Here is a 15468-nt window from a genome sequence, read left to right as displayed (position 1 = left end):
AGAACTTAATACATTCATCAAAAGGAAAAAAGTCTTAGAACTATACAAGATAAACATATAGTGTTCCAAAGTGCCATATTAAGGTTTGCAAAATATCTCTTAATTGGGGCCAGGCACGGTGGCTCACCCCCGTAATCCCAGCACTTTGGGAGGCCGAGGCAGGCGGATCACGAGGTCAGGAGATCAAGACCATCCTGGCCAACACGGTGAAACCCTGTCTCTACTAAAAATACAAAAATTAGCCAGGCATGGCGGCGCACGCCTGTAGTCCCACCTACTCGGGAGGCTGAGGCTGGAGAATTGCTTGAACCCAGGAAGCGGAGGCTGCAGTGAGCCGAGATGGCGCCACTGCACTCCAGCCTTGGCGACAGAGCAAAAACTCCGTTTCCAAAAAAAAAAACTCTAAGTGAAGGTTAATGTGCATTACTCACCTTTCCTATAAACTACAGGATGCTTTCAACCAGTGGATCATTTAAAGTTCTTGACCATTATTTTAAGTAATGGCAAATAATGTAATTTCCAGTGCATTGTAAAATGTCATTTTACAGTAACTATCACTGTTTTAAATATTATCAGATGGAATTAAATACCATAGTAGTTTGATACTAACATCCATTTTGATAGTCAAAGTTTTACATTGTATTACTATTCTATTCTCTACTGCAGTGGTTCTCAGCAAGGGACTGTTGCCTCCCAGGGGCCAGTTGGCAATGTCTGGAGACATTTTTGATTTCATAAACTAGGGAGTGGGGTACTACTGTTGTCTAGTGGGAACATGCCAAGGATGCTGCAAAATATCCTACATTGCAAAAGACAACCCCCAACAACAAGAAATTAACCCACTCAACATCTCAATAGTGTGCTGTTGAGAAACCCTGACTAACAAGAATTCTATATAGTACGGTTTTAGGCATAAGCCTTATTGGTTATCCTTTCCTGCAGCAAAAAATATGTGTATACCGTTGTCCCTTGAACAACACAGGTTTGAATTGTACTCATACATAGATTTTTTTCAACCAAATGAGGATCAAAAATATAGTATATGCTGTATATGAAACCCAAGGACAGCTGACTTTTACTGTAAGCAGGTTCTGCAGGACTAGCTGCAGAACTTGTGTATGAGAGGATTTTGGTATACCGGGGGTCCTGGAACCAATCCCAGGTATATACCAACAGACAACTGTATTTAAATTTTGTGTATATCCTGTGATCATAATCTCCTAAATGCTAACATAGGAATTTTTTGTATGATTACAACTATAATTAGTGTTCAGCTGATCAAAATAACAAATATCCCAATTTGAATAAATATAAAAAGTAACATTTTATTGAAATGTATTTCTTAATTAGCTTGGGCATTTTTTTAAAATTAGGTTTCCATGAACAAATATTATTTATTGCTAGAATCAGACGAAGTCTAACATCAGTTTTCTCTCTTCTTCGCTTTTAGAGATGTAAGGGCCAAAACATCTTCATTTATGTTTAAAAATAAAAAGAATGTTTATATAGCAATTTCATTCATTTCTTTTTATTCCTTTTGACTAGAATCATTTACCGATAGTGATCTATCATCAGAATATTCTGAATGACATACCAATTAGGTTTTCCAAGTTAGTTGGATTTAGAAGCAAAGCATTGGAAGCCCATCCTGGAAAATGATTTTTTTACTTGGGTATTAGAATTATTTTATCATATTGACTATATTCAGTGCTCTGGCAGTCATGTCCTGAGACAGTGCACTATAGTAAGATTCAGGGTGGATAAGAGGTATTCGTTTTGTAAAGTCCAAAAAGATAATTTCCTGTATACTAAAGAACCCAGAACAGTGTCTGGTTTAAGTGGTTTGTTCCAGTAGTAGGTGGATTAACAATTGAAGGAATAAACACTTTCAGTATTATTGTAATAATCCAAACTAGAAATGATGGGTATTAGCTGGTTAAAAAAAAAAAAAAAAAAAAGCTAGCACATTCTGGATATATTGTGAACGTAGAGCTAACAAAGTTTACTCAAGATTTTAATGTGAGAGAAAGGCAAGCATCAGGTATTATGGCATGGTTTTTGTCTTAAACTATTGTAAGAATTACCATTTGTCTAAGCCCTTTGGGGCTGCTGGAACAAAAATATCTTAGACTAGTGGCTTATAAACAACAGAAATTTCTTTCTCACAGTTTTGGGGGCAAGTCCATGATCAAAGTGCTTGCAAATTTTGTGTTGGGTGTTTTCCTCATTCATAAATGTTTCTGCTGTGTCTTCGCATGGCAGAAGGGACAAGGGAATCACTCTGGGGTCTCTTTTATAAGAATACAAGTCACCTCCCAAAGGACCCACCTCCAGATACCATCACATTGAGGATTAGGGCTCAACATATGAATTATGGCACAAGGGGGTGGGGGTGCAACTGACACAACCATTCAGATCCTAGCACCATGTACTGAGATGAGGGAGACTGAGAGGAAAAGGATGAGGAAGATGCAAGTACAGTTCACGTGTCCATATTCTTCAGTGTCCATTTATGTTTCAATTACCTGATTTATGTGTGTTAGGAGAGGTACCTTAAGGACCAGTTTTGTTAAAGGGTTTTTTTTTTAATCTGTTTAGCATTTTAACCGAATTTTTAAAACATCTTATTGTATTTTAAATCCATAACTCTCTACATAGGTATTTTCTAGGACAGATTCTGTATCAAACAGTTGGCTTCATTGGTTGTAAAAATAGAATTGTCAAACATACATACTAAAACCATGATTTTGCTTGAAATAATTGAATCACATAATTTTCTGACCTTGTCAGAATAATACAAATTAGCCCAAATGCAACTGTAACATTATAATTCATGATTTATATTAATTCAAAATATTATGCAGTGTTATAGTTTTCCACATTGACTAGGTTAATAGAGAGGCACATTTTCCTTTTGCTCAGTACATTTTTAAAACTTGTTTTTTTCCAGTTTGTTTCAGCACAGAACACAATATTTACAAATATTTAAAAAATTAACACATCACTGAGAGGGGACTTATGTACCCACTTGTTAAGATCTTTTGAAAATTAAGTCATGTATGTAGGTATAAATTAACATTACAATAGTCTATTTTAAAGATTGGCATGCATTCTAACAGTGTGGTTTATTTAGTTCCAACCATGTACAAGATTCTGGGTGTGTGGTTTCTCAGAGTCCAGTGGAGGAGGCAGATACATGCATACCAACATTCATTACATGTTTGTGACAAATAGATAAAATAAATATTAAAAGAGCACAAACAAAAAATTCCTGTAGCTATAGATGTTATATTTGCACTTATATGACTCCCCTCAGGAGAATAGGCTGTGTACACTAGGAGAATTTTGCTGCTGCTTTGTCAACTGTTTTTCTCTCAAGCCTCACATCCTAAGTCTCCTACCTTTCCTCATTCTGACTTGTGCAAATGGTGTTCCTGCCACCTCTATGGATGATGGAGGCTACACAGCTCTTCTCTCTGGGCAAGCATGCCAGAGATCTTGGAGAACAGCAACTGCCTGTTCAGAGCAAAAGCATTCATCCGGATAACAAAAGTGCCACCTTCTTTCTGACTCAGTTTTCTTTACCAGGCTCCTTTTGTAGAAACCACTTGTATAGGTAAAAGACCTGCTATAGTCTTCAATCTAATGGCCGTGCCAGTTTTAAAGGTCAGCCACAGCTGGGAGAGAGAGGCCAGGTAAGTGTTACACTTGGGTATCAAATATAATGTGTATTTAATGTTCAAAATGATATAGTCCAGAAATGTCCATTTTGTTTTCTTCTTACAAAAGGACTTATAAAACTCTATAGGCAAATAATTAAGATATCTAATTTTGGGGAACTAACTATAGAGATGTCTTATTATCCAGTGTAGTCTAATCAAGGAGTATGGCCAGTAGAATTATGGGTTCACCCAAGAGAGTCTCCATCTTTGAACTATAATTGATACACTGGTCTATCTGATTTGACACATCATCACCTTCTCCTCTGTCCTTTGCAGCTTCATGCCTTTCTGTAGATTGATATCCAGGACATTTTTCTTTTATATTTGGGAAATGGTAAAGTTCTAATTATTTTTTGACAAATCAGGAATTAAAATTTAAATTACATCAAATGAAATAGAAATATGACATACTGTTTTGTTATAATTAGGTTTCCTTGAAGAATTTGCCTGCTACTTAGAAAATAAAACTTGAAAAATTATAAATAAGTGAAATATATTTTGTGCTGATTTAATCATAAGATAACCAGACCATAAGAACTTGTTGGCAAACTGAAAGTAACAATTTAATGGATTAAACTAGGATATCATGATATATTTAATTATTCTAAGATAAAGTGACCCCTAATTGCAGTCATCAGTATGCAGGTTAAATAAATACAGTTATTGGAGTTCTAAAAGGAATGTTAAACTCTGTAAAAATCATTACATCATTCGATAGTTAACGTGTATGTCTATCCATTTTTTTGGAATGTATCATCCTACCAAAATGACTACCAATGAATTGCATTTTTACATTGTTTTTCCACATAACACTGGAAATAGATTGCAAAGGACATTTCAGGGAAAATTCTAAGAAAATAATTATTTTAAAAATTACTTTCCTCCAGTCATGGTGCCTGATGCCTATAATCCCAGCTCTTTGGGAGGCCAAAGCAGGCAGATCACTTGAGCCCAGGAGTTTAAGACCAGCCTGGGCAATGTGATGAAACCCTGTCTCAACAATAAATACACACACACACACACTCACACACACACACTAGCCAGGCATGATGGCGCGCACCAGTAGTCCCAGCAACTTGGGAGGTTGAGATGGGAGGATCACTTGAGCTCAGGAGGTCGAGACTGCAAGTGAGCCATGTTCCTACCACCGTACTCTAGGTGACAGAGCAAGACCCTACCTCAAAGAAAAAATTACTTTCAGATTCCACAGATTTTTCTAAGTCAGTATTAAAAGAAAAATATTTTTCAAATAAAACATTAGCCTATGTTTTTTATAATTTTTCTATTGTTGGCATATAGAAATAAAATTGCTTTTTTAATATTGTCTTTGCAATTAGGAAAATTGCTAATAGTCATCACCATTAACTACTGCAGTAGTTTCTTTTGGGTTTTCCATACAAATGTTATATAAATTATAATAGCATCATTTTTAAACCTTTCAAATACCTAGGCATAAATTGAAGGAAGGATGTACGTCTCTACACTGAAAACTACAAGTCAATATTGAGCGAAATTAAATATCTAAATAAATAAAAGTATATAATGTGTTCAAGGATTACTGGATTTAATACTGTAAAGATAACAGATGTAAAAATGTTAATTTATAATTCAATATAACCCTCATCAAAATTCCAGCAAATTAAAATACATATATTGACAAGCTGGCTGGGCACAATGGCTCACACCTGTAATCCCAGCACTTTGGGAGGCCGAGGTGGGCAGATCACTTGAGCTCAGGAGTTCAAGACCAGCTTGGGCAACATAGTGAGACGCAGTATCTAGAAAAAAAAATAAAATAGCAAGGGGTAGTGGCACCTGCCTGTAGTCCCAGCTACTCAGGAGGCTGATGTGGAACGATTGCTTGACCCTGGGAGGCAGAGATTGCAGTGAGCCAGAATTGCGCCATGCACTCCAGCCTGGGTGACAAAGCATGACTTGGTCTAAAAAAAAAAAAAAAAAAAAAAAAAAGACAAGCTTAAAGTTCACGTAGATATACAAAAGGCCACAAATAGCCAAGCCAATTTTGAAGGAGAGCAAAGCTGGAGGATTCAATGGATTCGAAGTACCATCATAAAGAATTAGTAATTGAGACATATTTGTTCAAAACAGTGAGATGAACTAATGGAACAGAATAGAAAATAATATAAAAACATACAGATCAGCTGACTTATGGCAAAAGTGACATCAATGCAGTGAGAAAAGGTGGTCTTTTCAATGAATGATGCAAGGTGAAGTGAATGTCACATAGGAAAAAAATGTATCTTGACTAGTAATTCACATACCACACTGTGCACAAAGAGTGATTCTAGAGTGGTGGCGTAACCAAATGTGCATAAAAACAAAGCCTTAAAACAAGAGGACATTTGCATGACCTTTGATAGGCAGCAGTTCCCCAAAACCCCCCTCAGGTTTAGTAATTCACTAGACAAACAGAACTCAGCAGAGTTATTATACTCATAGTTTGCTATATCAAAAGCTTATAGATTAAAATTAAATAGAAGGAAGCACATAGGGCAAGGTCCAGGAGAGACCAGACAGAGCTTCCAGTTGTCTTCTCCCAGTGGAGTTGTGTGGACAGTGCTTACTTATAGCAAAGATGTAATGGAACCTTGTGGCAATGGAACCAGGGAAGCTCAACCAAGCCTTGGTGTCCATTGTTTTTAGAGGACTGGAGGTGGGAGTGGGGAGGGTATCAATGGCGTAATTATGGCTCACTTCTCACATTGCTGACCTTGGAGTTGCCAGCCTCTCCAGAGGTCAATGTGATACCACATGACCCAAGGTCCCAACCATAAATAACAGTGTTAGCATAAACTGGTGATGCAGTTTGAGTATTTGTCCCTACCCAAATCTCATGTTGAATTGTAATCCTCAGTGCTGGAGGTGAGCCTGATGGGAGGTGTTTAGTCAAGGGGGCAGATCCCTCATGGCTAGGTGCTGTCTTCGCGATAGTTCTCGCAAGATCTGGTCATTTAAAAGTGTGTGGCACTCCCCACCCCCACTCTCGCTTGCTTGCTCCTGTGTTCCCCTGTGATAGTTCTGTTCCCTCTTCTCCTTCTACCATGATTGAAATCTCCCTGAGGCTTCACCAGAAGCTGAGCAGATGTCAGCATCATGCTTCTTGTAGAGCCTGCAGAACCGTAAGCCAATTAAATCTCTCATCTTTATAAATTACTGAGTCTCAGTTATTTCTTTATAGCAGTGCAAGAATGAACTAACAACTGGCATGGCCTAAGGCATCCAGGTAAACAAAGTTACTCTCATGAAGCAGGACATTCCAAGGGTTTACAGATTACCTGCCAGGGGTAAGGGCCATAGCTTGCTTTGAACAAGCTCAATCCTTTACTATATGTAGGCAAAGACAAAATACTCTAACCGTAAAGATTTTTAAAATGAGCAACTGGCCTGTATTAACCTTTATTCATTAAAAGAATGATTAGACAACTCACAGAGTGAAAGAAAGTATTTCCAATACATATATTTGACAAAGGACTGGTATCTATTCAGACTATATAAAACACTAATACAAATTAATAAGAAGCCCAATTAGAGGGTCCAGGAAGTAAACAACAGGTGAAAGATTTTTAAAGTCACTTCAAAAAAGAAGATATCCAAGTCTCAACCTCTTTAGTTATCAGCCTAATGTAAATTAAAACCATAATGTAATACTACGGTGTACCTAGCAAACTGGCTAAAATGAAATAGATGGACAGTAACAGAGTAGACAGAGATATGGAGCAATCACACCTCTCATACATTGCTGGTGGGAGTCTGAATTGGTACAACCACTTTGGACAGCTGTTTGGCAGTATCTACTAAAGATGAACATATTCATACCCCATGGCTCAGCAATTCCACTTCTAAGTGTTTATCCACAAGAAAATGCATGCATTCATTTACCAGCAGACATAAATTAGAATGTTCATAGAACACTATTCATAATAGCAAAAAACTGAAGACTATTCAAATGTTCATTAAAGTTCATTAATAAAGACACCAAAATTCCACACAGTGGAATACAATACAATGAAAATGGTCTACCACTATAAAATATGGATGAATCTCAACATGTTAAGAAAAAGTCAGACACAATAGAATACCTTATGATTCCATTTATATAAAGTACAAAATCGGTAATTTGAAATAAGGATAGCAGTTATCTTTGGCAATACAGGAGGCATGTAGTGAGTGGAGGGTGCACAAAGAGTTTCTGGGATCCCATTCAAGTTCTGCTTCTCGAGCATTATATTGGTTATACAGGTGTTTTCAGTTTGTAAAAATTCAGCAGTTCACAGGTTTTAAAAACTTCATTAGTTAAATTTACATCTATCAGATAATATCATGAGAAACATATTCTAATGGAAACAGTTGGAGTGACTTACTCTGCACCTGATAAAAATTTAAGTTTCAGTTCCCCTCACTTTCATGAGACCCTGTAAGTGCAGGGAGTTTCTGGGAATAGTAATGAGTCCTAGGTACAGAGTGGAAGCCAGGTTTCAGTCAGAAGCATTTCTGTGTAAACATGCCTGGTTAAATTGCCTAAGGAGACCTCAGAAGAAAGGTATCTGAATTACCTCACTGATGTTTTCTCATTCTAAATAAATACTCACTTTAAACCTAATTTTGTATTTATTTTGTATTCTTTTTCTTAAATATGAACCACCACCACCATCCTCCCCTCTACACACATACACACGCATGGTGTAAATTTCAGGTCTGGCAAATCTAGATCTCTAAAGAGAAGAGTTAGATGTGGTTTGATTTTTTAACACTATCATCAAGTTATTTTCATTATTTTCCTTACAGTAATATACTTCATTTCTGTTCAAGAAAATTTTTTTAAATACTCAGAATAAATAATCATACTTATTGTTCCAACTAAAACTATGAAAAAAGCCCCTATTTGAGATTGCAACTCAAAGAATTACACAAATGCTTTTCCTAAAGATATTGTACTTCAGTATTATTCATATTTCCCATTCACACAAAATGTTAAAAGAATGTACACTCAATAAAATGAGTATTTATTTTTCTGTGTCTCATTCTGTCCCCTAAGCTTGAGTACAGTGCTACAATCATGGCTCACTGCAGCCTCAAACTCCTGAGCTCAAGTGATTCTCCCACCTCAGTCTCCTCAGTAGCTGGAATTGTAGGCGTGGAACACCATACCAGGCTATTTCTTTTTTTTCTTTCTTTTATTTTTTTTTTAATTTTTTTTTAGAGACAGGGTCTTGCTATGTTGCCAAGGCTGGTCTTGAACTCCTGGCCTCAAGGAATCCTCCCCCATCAGCCTCCCAAAGTGTTGGGATTGCAGGCATTAGCCACTGTGCATGACCAGTAGATCTTAGTAAGCTTTTAAAAGGCATTTTCAAATTAAACTGTTTTTCATTTTTAAATGTATGTTCAAGGAAAAATACAATGACTTGATTCATGCTAGCAGTTTTACTCACTATTGTTTTTGAACCATTGATGCAAATGTCAACGCAGGAGTTCTGAAATAAATTATGGTGTTCAAAATATTTTTTTAACATTTTAATATTTTAGTGCAACTTGCATTTAATGCCAAATATTCAAATAAAAGATCTTTGATGATTACTTGGTGCTGATATTAGACAAATACAAGCAAAAGAGCAAGTCCAGCAAAATCATTACAATTCTGTAGACATCAATCCAGTCTTCCTTTTTGTAATTAAATCTTTCATTCAAAAAGTTACTATGTTTGGAAAATGGAGCTTTCATGATTACTTTTAGTGACTTTTCATCCAGCAGGCATTCAACAATGCAATCTGTATATGGCTTAGTATTTTGTATGGCTTAGTGTTTTGTTGCACTCTAGCCAATGCTATACAATAATTCATCCTGTAAAATGTTTCAGTAGCTTTATCACTTGTAATTTCAAATGCCATAATAATTTTTGGCTTTAAGGAGCTTATCTCTGTTTAAATATTCAATTTCTTTTTCATAAAACTATGATCTCAAAATGAAAGTATAACTTATCTGAAAAGGTTTTGTTACATGAGACACAATAAGATAACTTATTAACATCTATAGGGGCAAGGAAAATATAGCTTTTCTCATATTTTTTATTTCTTATTTACATTATACTCAGTTTATTTGAGTAGATTACTTCCTTCCATGAGTCAGAGGACTCTCTTATGTCTGAATTTTACTTTTTTTTTTTTTTTGGCGCCATTAGACATGATGCAGATGCAGGTTGAAACAGCAATTCTTCTAATCTCCCTTTTTAAATCAATGATCCATCTATTTCCCATGCTCCTCATTCAAGTGTCCATCTTGTGCCATTTTTCTTTTGCATTTCTTTCTTTACAATTTCTGGTACTGCAGCCTATTAATGATGCTATTTGTCAAGTTTTTAGTCTGATAAAGTATATCACCTCAAGTTTTGAAAGATATTTTCTCTAGAAGTAAAATTGTAGGTTGACTTTTTTCAAAAAAAATATTTTGTTTCATTGTCTTCTGCCCTGCATGGTTTCTGAGAAGTCTGCTGTCATTCCTAGCTTTATTCCTCTGTATGTTATGTGCCTTGTTTCGCTGCATTAAAATTTTTTTCTTTATTACTGGTTTTCAGCAATATGATTATTATGTGTTTTGGTGTGGTTTTCTTTATACTTCTATTTGGGAGGTATTGAGCTGCTTGAATATGTAGGTTTCTACTTTTGTCAAATTTGGACATTTTTTACCCAACATTTCTTTAAATATTTTCCTCCATCTCTTCCTGTGACTCCAATTACACATAACAGAGCCTTTTTGAAATTTTCCCACAAGCCACTAGCACTGTTGATGTTTTTTTCTCAATCTATTTTTATGTTTCATTTTGGATAGATTGTATTGCTGTGTCTTCACATTCACCAGTCTTTTCTTCTGTAGTATCTATTCTGCTGTTAGTACTATTCAGTATATTTTTCATTTCAGATAAGTATTTTCCAATTCTAAAAATGCTATGTGGTTCTTTTAAATGCACATAAAAATGAACACAGAAAAACTACTGAAGTGAAATACCATGCAAGTAACTACAAGAAAAGATGGCTATAAAAACAAAATAATCCTGTAGACAATGAAACCACACTAGAAAGACATACTCAACATATGCAAATCATTTTAAAATGAACTAAATGATGTTAAGAAAACAATATGAGACGTTAAAAACAACATAAATCAGAATTAGAAAAATTCAGAAATGAGCTGATTACAGCTCACAAAAGAAAGAATTAATGAATAAACCAGAAAAAATATAAAACAAAACATATGTGCACACACGTATGTTCCCCAAACACAACAAATAATTCCTTATAAGGAATAATAAAAGGGGGGATTTTTAAAAACCAAACACAAGATGAAGAAGCAAAAAGGATTTGAGAGAGAATGACAAAGATTGAAGGTAAGAAAATACAATGTACCTATATAGGAGTCCCCACCCTCCCCCCCAAAAAAATCTAGGGAGTAAAACAATTATTTAAAACTTGCTGAAAATACCATTGTGAAATGCACATTAAAAGATCACACTCTTCTCTGAGAATAACAATCCAGAAAAAAACAGAACCAATACATATCCTAGAAAAATTACTAGACTTTAAAGAAAAAATTCTTTAGGAATCCAGAGGAAAATAGCACATGTTATACAAGGACATCAATATTATCAAATAGTCTTAATTTTCTTAAGATACTCAACAAAAGAAAATTTTAGCCAAGGATTTTATATCATGCAAAACTAATCTCAAGTATAAATGGCAGAGTCAAACTGTAGAGCATGAACTCAGAAACCATTTTTCCCATGAGCACTTCCTAGGTAATCTGCCAGACAGCAAGACTTAGACATCCGAAATGACTTGACAGAGCAATCCAAGGACTGGAAAAGAGCATTAAAAATACAGTTACTTTAGAAGTAAGAAGAAATAAAAGGTAAAAGGAGAGATTATAGTACGTAATAGCTATGTGATCTGAAAGAGTAGAGAATATTTTTTAACTGGAGGAGTGGTGAAGAATAGCTAAAACATATGCAAAACTATTTTTGTTTAACATTCAGTAATCATAATTAGTAGTTATGCTATTAATAGTGTTATTTTAAGACTGTTGTATTATAAAATGGGATAAAGCAAATGAATAATTGTATTCTAAATATATCATTTTCTGTGACCTTGAGAACCAGGATTCTCAGTGTGGAAGAGAGGAGATACAGATGTAAAATAAAAGAAGTAAAAGCCCTGTAGAAAAAAAATTTCTACAATCCTAGAAAAGAATTTATAATTTATAAAATCCTAAAAGAAAAAAAAATCACCAAACAGTAGCAAACAGCAACACTAGCTCCCAAAATTGCAATAAGAATATGTTCTTGTTACTGGATTCTGGCCAAAGTAATGTGGTAGAAGTGATATACCCACTTCCAGTTCTGGCAATAAAATGTTTCATGAGATCTTCCACTTTCTTGACAAGCTAAAATCAGTATACAAAAATTTCTGAGAGACCATAGGAGATAGCTTGAACTAATCTGTTATTTTCTAAATATGAATATATCTAGGTGATAGCTTATATTTATTCCTCTAGAGGGCATAGCCTTTTATACCAGAAGGTAGCTTCTTCAGGGGTAATTTTCTACTTTCTGAGGCCTGAGTATGGTCAAATCCCACTTATATATCCTTAAACTGCAGGTAAAAGGTAATACTGAAGTATTGCTGGGTAGTTCAAATAGAAAACATTTTCATTCACCTACCTTCTACCATGTAGTAATCCTGAATCATCAACACCTTCCAACTATTAATATTTTTAAGTCAGCCCAATCATTTGATGATAATTTCATTCCAATCTTGTCCCTTTGGACAATTTCTTTTTCAATACTGTGTACTGGCTCTTGACAAAGGGTTATTGTTTCTTGTTCTTCTGGATAAAAACACAGCTAATCTTTGCATCCTCATGGTATTTTAATTATAAACTGGTTGCTAACTCCTGGTTACCACTTTCTGTTACTAAATATATCTCACTTGTTTCTTGAAACCACTTTTGACATAGTTGTTTTTTTTTTTAATAAAATGGGGTTTTGTGGTTTTTCTCTTAAACATCTAAAGAATTTGTGGCTGTGGCATTTATATATATATATTTTTTTCAGATTGGTTGTTGTAACTAGTGATAAAGTGCTGAATTATATCGATGTATTAAAATGTGCCCTAAGCAGTTAAATAACACCACATTTTAGATTTCAAAATTCTATTGAACTGCTCTAAAATCTCAGACTTAACCAAATCACTGTTGACAAAATGATGGATGTTATACTTCTTTAAGAGTTTCCTTATGGGATTATTTAAAATTCTCCCTGCCTCCTCCCCCATCTGTCTGGAGTGCCTGTACTACCTTGACCCAAATCAAATATTGTTTTAGGAGTTTGGGTAACATAATGACCTCCTTTGTCTTTTAGGCCTGTGGCTCTGGTAAAGTTTGAAAGTACCTTATTGGATGTTAAAGCATCCCTTGTTACACTTGTAACACTGGCTCATATTCTCCAGGTTTATGTGTCTATATAATTCTCTATCTAGAATCACCCTATTGTTCTCTTAAAATGGAAAAAATGTGCTTTATTGTGGAGAGCATAAACATTTTTTTACTTAAACATTGTACTATCTGATTCATATTTACTTTTCTGCCCCTCCTAACGTCTTCTGGAAGACAGGAGACATAGCCCCTTATCCAACAAATCCCCACAAACAGTAAATCTTCCTAAACAAATACTATGCCTTGTTTACATCTGGGGAGTTTATTGAAATAGTATCTACATTCATTTCCTAGGCTGGCTTAATAAAATATCACAAACTAGGTGCCTTTAAAAAATTACCCAGAAATCTATTTTCTCAGAGTTTTGGAGACACCTAAAACCAAGGTGTTGGCAGGCCTCCACTCTCTTTCTGAAACTTGTTGGGAAATCCTCTCTTACCTCTTCCTAGCTTTTGGTGATTTGTCAGCAATCTTTGGCATTCTTTGGCTTGTAGATGCATCACTCCAGTTGTCTGTGTCTTCACGTGGTTCTCTCCTTGTGTCTCCTGTTAGAAGCATTCCTCCCTTTGAAACTCAAAACTCTGGACCAGCAAAGCATAAGGTGCAGAAATGTTATGCTTTTAATGTGTCCCTTCCAAAATTCAGCCATTGCCAAGTGATAGTATTAGGTGGTGGGGTCTTTAAGAGGTAATTGGGCGATGAGGGCTCCTCCCTCATAAATAGGATTAGGTGCCTGTGTGAAAGAGCTTGAAGAAGGGAGTTTGTCCCTCTTGCTCTTCCACCTTCTGCTATGTCAGAACACAGTGTTCCTCCCCTCCAGAAAATGCAGCAACATGGTGTCATCATGAAAACAGAAAGCAGCCCTTACCAGACAACTGAACCTGCCCGTGCGCTGATCTTGGACTTCTCAGCTTCCAGAACTGTGAGATATAAATATCTATTCTTTGTAAATTACCCAGTCAGTAGTATTCTGCTACAGCAACACAAATGGTCTACTGCAGAAAGGGAAGCAAAAATTTTGCTAGTGTATCACTAGAAGTAACTGGTGCCACTCCCCTGTTCTCTAGGAGGGTATTTATATCTAAATCTGTCCAATACATGGTGTCTTTTTCTTCCATAGCCAGGATTCACAGTTCCAGGAAACAAGGGGTAGAAATAGGAATTAATGCTATTGCTGTTTAATGCAACTGTTTCCATATTCTAAATGTTGACCAACAATAGAGTTTTGCTGACTATTTAAAATTAACTCTCATAAAAAAAACCTGTCAGCCATAAATATATCATAGTTACTAATATAAATATATAATTTGGTTGTTAACACTTGAATTTAAAGGAGACTTGAGTTGCAGTTTATTTGTGCCTTATTGGATGTCTTTACAGTTATTTTATTTCTCCCATCAGTCAGTGGAAAACAAAACTTAAAACTTTTTGTAAGTTTCCTAACAGATTTAGTCTGTCCACCTCAAATACATATGTTATGTCTCCATGAGAGAGGAAAAAAGGATAAAACAAACCACATTAACAGCTCAAAAATAAATAATAAACATCATCAGAGAAACAAGTACAAAAAAGAAAACAGGTAAGACTTTTAGACTTCATGCCCTTTAGTTTAAAATACTTTCCACAAATGTGTCCTAGTGAGGGTAGCATCATTGCCATTTGCCATGAGTTCTTGAGTATGAGATACATGACATTTACTAAAAGAATAGGGATAGTATTCCTTGATTTATTGTATTTTTCTTTCATATATAATGTTGTTGTTTATAAAATACCTTTACAAGAGTATTTCGCTTATCAACACAGGAGACTTTTGAGATAGATTGCCTTTTTTACAAATAAGGAAGTTGAGGTTCAGGGCAGTTAAACAATTTGTCTTCAATCACACAACAGTTTAGTGGCAAATTTGAAAATTAAAGTTCTGGTTTTTTCTACTATAACTCAGCTTTTCAACAATTTTACAAACTGAATATCCTCTTGTGACTATTATAATAGAATGTACTTGATGTATTAAAATTCTCCGTGGAAGCTATCAAAAATAATGCTAACTTTATTAACTAATTTTTAAAATACAATAGCATAAAAATAAATTTTTATTCATAATTTACTTACTAAAAATACTTTTGGATTGTTTGAAAATTAAAATACAGGATAAAACCATTTTAAGAGAAAACACAGTTATAGCTGAAAATGATCATTTCTTTGTCATAAGAAGACCTTTCTCATTATAGTCTAAAAAGACCTCATG

Source organism: Homo sapiens, chromosome 3 (genome assembly GCF_000001405.40).
Source record: "Homo sapiens chromosome 3, GRCh38.p14 Primary Assembly".
NCBI lineage: Eukaryota > Metazoa > Chordata > Mammalia > Primates > Hominidae > Homo > Homo sapiens.
This window is presented reverse-complemented; position numbering follows the sequence as displayed.